General features: G+C 38.6%; 1 protein-coding gene across 50 annotated transcripts in view; it reads right to left on the reverse strand.

The window, feature by feature from the left end:
* Positions 1-12,762, reverse strand: part of HUWE1 (HECT, UBA and WWE domain containing E3 ubiquitin protein ligase 1) — a 154,624-nt gene that overhangs the window by 118,500 nt on the left and 23,362 nt on the right. For all 50 annotated transcript variants that reach the window (NM_001441048.1, NM_001441051.1, XM_047441751.1 and 47 more), the window contains one exon: positions 3,468-3,536. In NM_001441048.1, the coding sequence (NP_001427977.1) occupies positions 3,468-3,512 (45 nt within the window). In that variant the 5' untranslated portion in view covers positions 3,513-3,536. The remainder of the gene's footprint in view (positions 1-3,467; positions 3,537-12,762) is intronic.

The raw sequence follows: 12,762 nt of genomic DNA on the forward strand, positions 1-12,762 counted from the left end.
TTTGCCAGTTCGATAGCTCAATAACAATTGCCAGGGTTTACAGTGATTTATTTCAATAGATACCAAATCTGGGGAAAAAATCCTTTGCACAGCTACTGATACACAAAGTGATCAATAAAAGCCTTTCATAATAGTACCTAGCATTGACCACAGTATGGGAAATGGGGGCAATCATGTATGCTGCTCAAGGAAAATAGACAACTCAAGTCTTAAAAATGTCCATAACCAGTGACATAAAAATTCCACTTCTAGGAGTTTATGCTAAGTAACTTGCTAGTAACTAGGAAATAAGAGCCAGAAATCAGTATATGACTCCAAGAGCAACCCCTTACAATCCACTAGGTTAAAAATTGTTTTTTAATTTGCATTTCTCCAATTACCCGCTAAGTTGAATCTTGCTGGACGTTTACTGGGTTTGTTCTTTTCTTAAATGCCCTATGCCCATTTTGTCATTGGGATATTAATTTCTCCTGATTTAGCTACTGAAAATATTAACTACACTGGGTTACAAATATTTTCCCCAGCTTGTCATGTGTCTTCCCCCTCCCCCACCCCACCTGAGCTTATTAAGGGGTAAATGGTATACAAAAAAACTGCACGTAATTCATGCATACAACTGGGTGAGTTTGGATGTATGTATACACTCACGTTGCCATCACCACAATCCAGGTAATAAACATATCCATCACCTCCAAGTTTCCTTGTGTCCCTACGTGTGTGTGCATGATTGTGTGTGGTAAGAATACTTAACGTGAGATCTACCCTCGTAACAAATTTTTAAGTAGAGTAGTCCCTCTGTATCCACTGGGGATTGATTCTAGGACCCCCATGAATACCAAAATCTATGCTGCTCATCCTTTGTATAAAATGGCAATGGTATTTGTATATAACCTATACACATCCTCCTATATACTTTAAACCATCTCTAGTATTACAATACTGAATTCGATGTAAATAGCTGTTACACTGCATTGCTTCAAAATTTCTATTTTTACTTTTGTATTGTTCTTTTTTATTGTTTTTTCCCCCAAATATTTACTATCCAGTTGGTTCCATCTGCAAATGTGGAACCCACACACGGAGGGCAGACTATACTCAATACCTGACTGTTAACTATAGGCACTATGTTGTTCTACAGCAGATCTCTGGAACGAACTTGCCTGGTATAATTTTATACCCACTGAGCAGCAACTCCCCCTTCTCTCTCCCACCATTTCCTGGTAACTATCATTCTACTGCCTACCTTTACACCTTTGACTATTTTAGATGCCTCATATAAGAGGATTCATGCACTATTTGTCCCTCTGCGGCTGACTTATTTCACTTTGCCTAATGTCTTCCAGGGATTAATTTCCAAAATATATAAGGAACTCCTGCAACTCAATAGCAAAAAAATCCCAAATAACACAATTTAAAAACGGGCAAGGGTCTTGAATAGACATTTATCCAGATGTCTATTTACATACAAATAGTTTTAAAATATATAAAAAGGTGCTCCCTATCAAGGAAATCAAGGGAATGCAAATCAAAACCACAATGAGATATTACTTCACACCTATTAGGATGGCTATTGTCATGTCTTTTTAATTTTGGATACAGTATTTAACATTTCCATTATGGTTTTTTTCCTTTGTTTTAATGCTTGGAAAGACCATGCCCACTTAAGACAAAGTAAACATTCACCTACATGTTCTACTTCTCCTATAGCTTATTTCTTTTAAAAACATTTGACTTTTGGTTTATCTAAAATTTATCGCAATATAATAGTCCCACATGCTCTACAAGATAATCATTCTAGCATGGTTTCCTAATACTGTCCCTTCTTTCCAATTTATAATCCCTCTATTACCATATATCTAGTTCTTATATACACTAGGATCACTTTTCTAGGTCTTCTATTCTCGTAGCAGTAGATTCTTACATTGGTTCCACTTTAAATTTTTAAATTATAGTTTCTTAAGCAAGTTTTCTTTTTGTCCTTTAGTAAAAGACATTCAAGTACACAGTTGTCAAAACTTCTAGATGCCAAAACACATCAAAAACAAAATCAAAAGCAAATGAAGATATTTCCAACAGATATGAAAATGAGTACGTTCAATATATATGGCATTCAGTAAGAGAAACACTGATATTCCAATGTCAGATACAAAATGAATGGCACAAGAAGATAACTGATATAGAACAGTGAAATACTTTCTTCCCCACTTATGAAATTAACAAAAATTTAAAAGACAATCTGTAATACTGACAAGGGTATATGAAGAAAGTGCTGCTCATACTCATTAGTACAATGCTAAATGAAAAGGGCAGGATAATTGTGTGTGCACATGTAATAATTTTTTAAAAGACTGGAAGAAGCCTGGGCAACAAGGCAAGATCCTGTCTCTACACAAAATAAAAAATTAGCCAGGCATGGTGGCATGCACCTATGGTCCCAGCTACTCAGGAAGCTGAGGTGGGAGCATCGCTTGAGCTGGGAGGTCAAGGCTGCAGTGAGCTGTGATCGTGCCACTGCACTCCAGCCTGTGTGACAGAGCAAAACCCTGTCTCAAAACAAACAAACAAACAAAAAAAACTGGAAGAAATGCAGCAAAATGTTATTGTTATCTTTTGGTGATACTTGCCAGGTACTTTTACATTTTTTGAAAACCAAGTGGCTTGTATTTACGATATGAACTAACTTATGTGCCAGATACTATGCTAAGCAATTGCCTCACATCAAGAAGGAAAAAATTTTCAGCCCCATTTTGCAGCTGTGGAAACCAGGCAAGTTAATAACCTCTCAGCCACAAAAGTCTGGTAAGATTCAAACCTAGGTCTAATTTCAAAGCTTGTGCTCTCTGAACTAAGCACAAGGGGTCAACAGGACTATCACAATGCAATACCACTTCCTCAACCTTAGAAAGCAGTTCAAGCTAGCTGGTGGAATATTACTAGATTAAAGCTGGGATTTCTACTGTCGACAAAGGGTTAATTGATATGACCACCCAATACACAAGTTAAGCTGAATTGTGTGATTAAGAATCAGTAATAAAGACAAGCTAAAACACTGGCCTTAACAAAAAAACTAGTAAGAAAGATGTTACCACTTTCATTTTCTAAAAAACAAAATTGCAAGATCCCAGAAGTACATTAAAAATCTGAACCCATATCTGCTCTTTCCATTATACCACACATCCTTTCTGCATAGGAAGGAATTGCACAGCAGCCTGAGAGCTGACTTCAGGCACACACAGCTACGAAGAACTAACTGATCGGTGTTCACTTTCCACTGGTCTCTTGGCTATCCATTTTTTTGATCCAGGGAAGTTCAAAAGAAAATCTTACTGTTTCTAGACAAGTTGTTGTTTTACTGCCTTTTGTATATATGGGTGATGAGATTTGAAGAGCATGGATGAACTGTTCACAAATATTTTTTTATTTTTTAATGAAGAAAAAATAAGCAAAGTAAACTTTTGGATACTTACAGCCTCAGTAGGTGTCTTCTTCAGTTTAGTCCTGTCTACTTTCATGATTTCAATTTTCAGCTTTACGATCTGAAAAAAGAAAATCCCAAAAGAAGTGAGAACTTAAAGCTACAATCTTGAGCTCTACAAGCTTGGACACAGACAATACAGAATGAAGAGCAATGCAAAATGCTTAAAGTAAAAACACTGGAGTTATGATGCTATGCCAACTCAGAGGCACAGCTATCAGGTAGAGAGAGGTAAAGAATCTCTCCAGATCAAACTGGCCCACATCCCTATGTTGCACAAGACTGAAACCAAATCAGGTCAAAATGAAAATTTTTTCTCTTTTACAAGCATCTCAAACTCTTAATTGAAAATAAGAGTGTACAATGTTTGCAACACATCTCAGGATGGAAAAATTCACCATAGCCCTGCAGTTCCCTGATAACTTCCATTTCTAGGAATTAATCCAAAGAAAGTCGTAAAGATGTACACAAATATTTAACCACAAGAATCCATACTGCATGACCATGTATAATAGTAAAAGACTGAAAAAGACCTACTGTTCCATCACAAGGCTAAAAAAAAGATCAAATGTCCAAAATACGACTGGTTTAAAATGGAATGTCACACAACTGTTAAAAATATTGCAAACTATGTAATACACAAAGATGTTCATGATGAAATAAAAAGATTACAACACAGAACATACGGTATAAAACTTATGTCTAAAGAAAACAGCTTAGAGGTGCTAGGCATCAGAATATTAATTCATTGTTAACCAAAAGGATTAAGTATGACTGTTTTACCTATGCACCTTTTACTGTTCCTACCAATAAAAATGTATTAGTTGTATCATAAGAGCAAAGGCAAAACAACACTTTTTTCAACTAGAAAATGAAGTATAAGGATCACAACAGAAATATTCTGAGCACAGAAAACAATCATTTTATTAAGCCATGTAATTTGGAAGGCTCAAAAGCAGACAACAGCCTGATCAGATCCACTGTATAATCCCTAGATCTTTGATGGCAGACAAGTCCTCCAAAGCACAAGAAGAAATAAGTTTCTCCTGTTAGCAACTAAGACACATGCACAGAGGTAGAAGTGGGTTGCAGGCTCTTTACACACAAAAGATTCTGCTATTAACAATGTATTTAACTCAGTGGCAGTCACTAGAAATCAATGTTCCTCCCCCGAGAAGGCTGCCATAATATAAAGCTGACCAATTACAGTATAAATTTTAGGCAGCTTTTTGCCTAGATTTAGTCCAATATACTCAGTACTATGGAAATAGCGTGTATTTGCCTGTACGACCTGTATCCATTCAATCAGCAGGCATTCAAGGAAGAGTTTGTGAAAAATTCAGAATACGTTCTAAAACATTTCTGCAGAGACCATTCCTTAAGAAGAAAAAATGTTTTCTATGGTTGATATTTAGGGTGTGTAATTCCAGATTACTTTTTAAAAAGTTATCTCAGTATCAATACAAAATGAACAAAATGCCTGATGCCAACAACCTCAAAATATCTCAAATGAAGCCAACAGGATTCTGGCAACAATCCTGTCCATGTGGTGGAAACTATAAGCTGAGCTATTTGTACGCTTACTCTCAAGGCTTTTTTCCTCCCCTTTTCTCATAAACGTCTTACGCAAGTGGCTGTCACACTATTGTCGCTTCAGTCATTTGCAGGGAGGCTATTAAACTGCCCCTGCTGCAAGACGTAGCAGCCAGCCTCAATACAACTCAAATAACTGATGCTTTCCCTCTAAGATTAGGAACAAGGCAAAGATGTCTGTTATCATGACTTTTATTCAACATACTGCTGAAAGTTCTAGCCAATATAATACAGTAAGAAAAAGAAATAACAGGCACACAGATAAGAAAAGAAAAAATAAAAATGGTCCCTATTTGCAGATGTCAAAGGATCATCCACATAGAAAACCCAAGAAATCTATTTTAAAAGCCTCCCAGAGGATGGGCGCAGTGGCTCACTGCACTCCAGCCTGGGCAACAGAGCGAGACTCCATCTTAAAAAAACAAAGGCCAGGCAGGCGCAGTGGCTCACACCTGTAATCCCAGCACTTTGGGAGGCTGAGGCGGGCGGATCATGAGGTCAGGAGATGGAGACCATCCTGGCTAACACGGTAAAACCCCGTCTCTACTAAAAATACAAAAAAAGTAGCCGGGCGTGGAAGGACAAGCCTGTAATCCCAGCTACTTGGGAGGCTGAGGCAGAAGAATTGCTTGAAACTAGGAGGCGGAGGTTGCAGTGAGCCTAGATTGTACCGTTGCACTCCAGCCTGGCGACAGAGCGAGACTCCATCTCAAAATAAAAAAAAATAAATTAGCCAGGCGTGGTGGCGAGCACCTGTAGTCCCAGCTACTCAGGAGGCTGAGGCAGGAGAATGGCATGAACCCGGGAGGCAGAGCTTGCAGTGAGCCGAGATAGTGCCACTGCACTCCAGCCTGGGTGACAGAGCGAGACTCCAGTCTCAAAAAAAAAAAAAAAAAAAGAAAAATCAAAGCTCTAAATACATGGAGAGATCTAAGACTCTAGTAAAGATGTCAAATCTCCTAAAATTGTTATATAGGTTTAATATAATTCCTATTCAAATCCCAGCAAGATGTTTTTTTGTAAATAAGCTGAGATTATTCTAAAGTGTATATGTTGTATAAGAACAACAATGGCTGAAACAATTTTGGAAAAAAATAAAAGAGGGAGGAATTGAATTACCCTACCCACTTTTAAGACTTACTATATAGCTACAGACATCAAGTAGTACTGATATATATACAAGTATCAATAGAGCAGAATAGAGAACCCAGAAATAGACTCATACAAATATGCCCAACTGATTTTTGACAAAGGTTAAAAAAAAAAACAATTCAGTCAAGGAAAGATAGTTTTATCAACAAATGGTGCCAGAGAAAGCAGACATGCACAGGCAAAAAAGATGAACTTCGACCTAAGCCTCACACTTTATATAAAAAATTAACTCAAAATGAATCACTTAAATATAGGACAATAAAATTTACTAGGAGAAAATATTTGCAAACCATATATAGTATCTAAAATACATAAAGAACTCTCAAAATTCAACAGTGAAAAGTCAAACAATCTCAGTAAACTAGGAATAGAGAACTTCTTCAAATTGATTAAAATATCTACAAAAAAAGCTACAACTAATATCTTAATGGTCAGGAACTAGGAGCATTCCCCCTTAAATAATCACAAACAAAAAAGGCCAGGCGCAGTGGCTCATGCCTGTAATCCCAACACTTTGGGAGGCCTAGGTGGGCAGATCATTTGAGGTAAGGAGTTCAAGACCAGCCTGGCCAACATGGCAAAACCCCTTAATCCCAGCTACTCAGGAGGCTGAGGCAGGAGAATTGCTTGAATCCAGGAGGCAGAGATCGCAGTGAGCTGAGATCGCGCCACTGCATTCCAGCCTGGGCGACAGAGTGAGACTCCGTCTCAAAAAAGAAAAAGATGTCCTCTCTTACCACTGCTTTCCAACACTGTATTGAAAGTCCTAGCTAAAGCAGTAAAGGAAATAAAAATTATAAAGATTGGGAAGGAAGATACAGAACTGTCTTTTTGTCAGAGATGACATGATCATACATGCAGAAAATCTGAAATAAGGAAAAACACCCTGGAGCTAACAAGCAATTGCACCAAGTTTGCAGGATATAAGGTTAATATACAAAAGTCAATTGCTGGCCAGGCACGGTGGCTCAGGTCTGCAATCCCAGCACTTTGGGAGGCTGAGGCGGGCGGATCACAAGGTCAGGAGATCGAGACCATCCTGGCTAACACGGTGAAACCCCGTCTCTACTAAAAACACAAAAAATTAGCCAGGCGTGGTGGCGGGCGCCTGTAGTCCCAACTACTCGGGAGGCTGAGGCAGGAGAATGGCATGAGCCTGGGAGGCTGAGCTTGCAGTGAGCTGAGATGGCGCCACTGCACTCCAGCCTGGGGCGACAAAGCAAGACTCCGTCTCAAAAAAAAAAAAAGTCAATTGCTTTCCTATATACCAGCAACGAACAAGCAGAATTTGAAATAAAAAACATTTATATTAGCACCCCAAAACTGAAAAACTTAGATATAAATCTAACAAAATATGTATAAGGTCTATACAAGGAAGACTATAAAATTCTGATGAAAGAAATCAAAGAACAATTAAATGGAGAGATATTCCAAGTCCATGGATAGGAAGATTCAATACTGCCAAAATGTTAAGTCATTTCCAACTCCACAGATTCAATGCAACTCCAATTAAAATTTCAACAAGTTATATGAATACTGACAAACTGATTCTAAAATTTATATGAAGAGGCAAAAGATCCACGATAGCCAACACAATATCAAAGGAGAAGAACAAAGTCAGAAGACCTACATTACCCAAAATCAAGTCTTATCATAAGACAACAGTAAGTAAGAGTACTGTACCGGTAAAAGAATGAACAAATCAATGGAACAGAATTAGGGAGCCCAGAAGTAGACCCACATAAATATTGTCAACCGATGATCTTTGACAAAGAAGCAAAGTCAATATAATGGACAAAAGATAGTTTTTTCAACAAATGGTGCTGGAACAACTCGATACATACATGCGAAAAAAAAAATCTAAACCGAAATTACATGTTTCACAAAAATTAAGTCAAAATGGATCACAGACCTAAATGTAAAATATTCTGCTCTGTAAAAGACACTGTCAAAAGAATAAGTGGACAAGCCAGACTGACAGAAAATATTTGCAAAAGACATACAAAGGACTGTTACCCAAGATACACAAAGAACTCTTAAAACTCAACAGTAAGAAAACAAGCTGATTTAAAAATGGGCCAATGGGCCAAAGACCTTAACATACACCTCACCACAGACAGACAGATGGCAAATAAACATATGAAAAGATACTCCACATCATACGGCATCATGGAAATGCAAATTAAAACCATGATGATATATCACTACGGCCAAAACCCAGAACACTGACAACACCAAATGCTTGTGAGGATGTGGAGCAAGTGGAACATTCATTCATTGCTGGTGGGAATGCAAAATAGTACAGCCACTTTGGAAGTCAGTTCAGCAATTTCTTACAAAACTACTCTTACCACATGACCCAGCAATCAATACTCCCTGGTATTTACCCAAAGGAGTTGAAAACTTATGTCCACACAAAAACCTGCACATGGATGTTTATAGTACCTTCATTCACTATTGTCAAAACTTGGAAGAAACCACAATGTCCTTTGGTAGGTGAATGGATAAACTGTGGTACATCCAGACAATGGAGTATTATTCAGTACTAAAAAGAAACGAGCTATCAAGCCATGAACAAACATGGAGGAAACCTAAATGCATATTAGTAAGTGAAAGAAATCAGTACAAAAAGGCTACATACTGTATGATTCCAACCACATGACATTCTAGAAAAGAAAAAACTATAGAGACAGTAAAAAGATCAGTGGTTGAGGAGGGTTAGTGGGGAGGGAAGAATGAAGAGGTGGAGCGCAGAGGATTTTTTGGCCAGTGAAACTACTCTGTATGATACTACAATGGTGGACACATGTTATTATGTGTCTAAACCCCAAAAGTATACACCATGAGTAAACCCTAATGTTAACTATGGCCTTTGAGTGATAATGATGTATCAATGTAGATTAATCAATTGTAACAAGTGTACCACTCTAGTGGGAGATGTTGATAACAAGGGAGGCTATGCCTGTGTGGAGGCAGGCAGTATATGGGAAATTTCTGTACCTTCTGCTCGATTTTGCTGGGAATGTAAAACTACTCTAAAAATAAAGTCTATTTTAAAAAAACAATCCTCCAAAACAAGAGCACAGAGTAACTTATGCACTGAAATAAGCAAATCACAACCATTTTACTTTTTTAATGCAGATGAGTCACTGATGAATCTTCAAACAAATAAGCAACTTGCTCTAATGCTGTTTTGACCTAGTGTACTATACTAGTCAAGTGTCTGTAACTACAGAAAGACTGGATAATTAATGCAGCCAAGTAATTTACTGGAGAGTATCTGATAGCTCACAGAACTGACAGAAGGCTAGAGCTCCACGTGCAGAAAACTAAGAGGAACCAAGGAAGCTAGGGAGCCTGGAACTACAGCCAGACCCCCCACGGAAACAGCTTAGCTTGGGGTACTTCTGCTGCCAACACAAGACTCTGGATGCCTAGAAACTATGCTGGTGGCATAATTCTAAATCATCTCAGGTTATTTGCATGAGTGGCGCTAGACTCTAAGTCCCAAGTGTAAGCATTTGATGCACCCAATAAAATAACAGAGCCAATATGAATGCACACACACAAATGTTCCCATAACAAGTGCAGTCCTACCTTGGTGTCTATAATTCTACTGCAAGAAACATTTGTAGTTTAAAAAACCAAGACATCACTGTCCATGAGACATCAACTTTAAAAATTTAGAAGTTGTTGTGTTCTCATATTTCTAAAACTGGTTTCAACAGTGGGAGGGGGGAACGTTAGTATACTGAGTGTCCATTACAAGCCAGACAATACTGAGACTGGAGTTCCCCAAAGTGTGTTAGAATGTCTTGCTCTATAAAGGGAGACAAGAATCCTGTAATTTGGGAAATGTTATAGACAGAATTTCTCTTCCACTAGGGCAGTCACATAGCTAATTGACATTATTAATGGCTCTAAGACATCTTAGGTAAAGGAGGCTTATTAGCACACAGAACCATTTTCTCAAGTGGCATCTACTCAAAGTCCAATTGAAGTATTCCAAAGAATACAGTTTGAGACATGCTACCTAGGGAATTCATATGATATTTTTTCATACAGTCCTCACCACTCAAGTCAAGTTTTGCCTCTATTTACAGATAGAAAACTGAAGTAAGAGAGAAAAAAAGTACCTTTCTTGGTCAGTAAATGTTAGCACCAAGATCTAAATCCAGGTCTGACTACCAAGTCCATGCTTTAATAACATGCGATTCACTTTTTTTTTTTTTTTTTTGAGATGGAGTCTTGCTCTGTCGCCCAGGCTGGAGTGCAGTGGCGCAATCTCGGCTCACTGCAAGCTCCGCCTCCCGGGTTCACGCCATTCTCCTGCCTCAGCCTCCCGAGTAGCTGGGACTACAGGCGCCCGCCACCACACCCAGCTAATTTTTTGTATTTTTAGTAGAGACAGAGTTTCACTGTGTTAGCCAGGATGGTCTCGATCTCCTGACGTTGTGATCCGCCCGCCTCGGCTTCCCAAAGTGCTGGGATTACAGGCGTGAGCCACGGCACCCAGCCTCACCTTTTTTTAAAACCAGTTTTATTACTACAAAATATTGGCAGATAAGAATAAAAATTTGTGACAGATTCTTCTAGACTGCTGAATCCTATTTGTTTGAAAAAATTACTCCAAGAGAGGAAACTAGGGCCCAAGATGAGAAGCTGAGATGCTGTAATTTCACTAATGAAAGGAACAGTAACTGGGGAATGAGTTCTACCTCTTAGAAGTTAATCAGGTGAAAACCCTATTACATTTAAAAAAAAATCCTTCCATAAAAATAAGTTAGTTTGAAACAAATTCCTAGAAATGGCCTACTGCCTTTGTTGGGTCAGAACCAGAACTCAGGGCACCAAGCAATCTCTATATATAATAAACATTGCTTCCTAAACTTAGGTTAGAAAGATAGCCAACTTAAAAGAAAACAAGTGAATTACTATGAATCACCATCCATATCTATTACCATTACTTCAATACTTTTATCTAATATTTTTTTTCACTTCCTTATTCCCCCAACCTTTCCTTACACCCCTGAGGTTTGAATCTTGGTTTTGTACAGTTTACCTGCAGAACAAGTGTACACAACTAAAATATCCTGAGGGAAGCCACTCAAAGCGTGACTCATATTCTATAGTAATCACCTCCAGTTGATAATATTTAAAAATAATGACTTTCAATACTGAATCAGTTTAAGGGCACAGGACACCTGTAGTTCCCAAATCTGGCTCAAGAGCAGTTGGATGTAGTGAAAGACTAGCCTTACTAATCAAGTGTGGTCCAAGGATCAGCAGCACTGACATCACCTGGGAGTTATTAAAAGTTGCAGAATTTCAGGCCCCACCTAGATATGAGGAGTCAGAACCCGCATTTTAACAAGATCCTTAGGTGATCCATATAACAAAGTTTGAGAAGCACTAGATCAGAATACAGACTCAGAAAACCTGGGCTAGAATCCCTGCTATATCACTTACTCACTGCATAACCGCAGACAAATCCACCTCTCTATGCTTGTTTCCTCAACTGTGTAATTATTCTTTCCATTTAGTTCTTGGAACACTCTAATTTCTAAGTTCGCCGCTGGAATGTTTTTGCCACCCCTCCTTTCCCACAACTAGTTCCATTTGAGGAACTGACATTTAAACTAAGACCCAGAGAGGCTTTCCATGACAACCCACCTCAAGTTGGTCCCACTGTAATTTTTCTATTATAGCACCCAGTTTATTTCCAATTTCCTTCATAACAAGTATCAACTGTAATTACTGGTTTGATTTTCTAAGATGTTAAGCTCTCAGTACCTAGCACGGTATCTTCCACATGATAGGTATGCAAATATTTGTAGAATGGAGTTCAGGAAAGACGTATGCATTAAGAATAAAATCTGTGATTGTCAGCACACATATATTACTTGAAGCCATGGGTCTGGAGATGACTGCTTACAAAGAAGGAAAGGAGGAGGCCCGCAACTGAGTTATTTGCTCTAGCATTTAAAGGTAAGGCAAAGAAGGGGCCGGGTACAATGGCTCAAGCCTATAATCTTAGCACTTTGGGAGGCTGAGGGCAGATTCCTTAAACGAGACCAGCCTGGGCAACATGGTGAAACCCCATCTCTACCAAAAAAAATACAATACAATAAAAGTGTAAAGGTAAGGAAAGAAGGAAAACCCAGCAATGGAGAGGCTAGTGAGGAAAGAGCAAAACTAGCTAATTATGCTATCACGAGAGACGAAAGATGGCAAGAGTGATCAACTGCATCAAATGTCAAAATGAGGTATGTCCACTGAAATTGGTAATAGAGACAATTTGACAAGCAATTGTTTCAGTGGGATGGAGGGAATGGAAGCCAGACTAGAGTCAGGGAATCAATGGAAAGTGAGAAAGCATAAATGGTATGTGTAAAAACCTCTTCTGAAAATGTTGGGCCAGGGGCAGTAGCTCACGCCTGTAATCCCAGCACTCTGGGAGGCCGAGGCGGGTGGATCACCCAAGGTCAGGAGTTTGAGACCAGCCTGACCAACATGGTGAAACCCCGTCTCTACTAAATACA

The sequence above is a fragment of the Homo sapiens genome, chromosome X, assembly GCF_000001405.40.
Source record: "Homo sapiens chromosome X, GRCh38.p14 Primary Assembly".
In the NCBI taxonomy this organism is placed as follows: domain Eukaryota; kingdom Metazoa; phylum Chordata; class Mammalia; order Primates; family Hominidae; genus Homo; species Homo sapiens.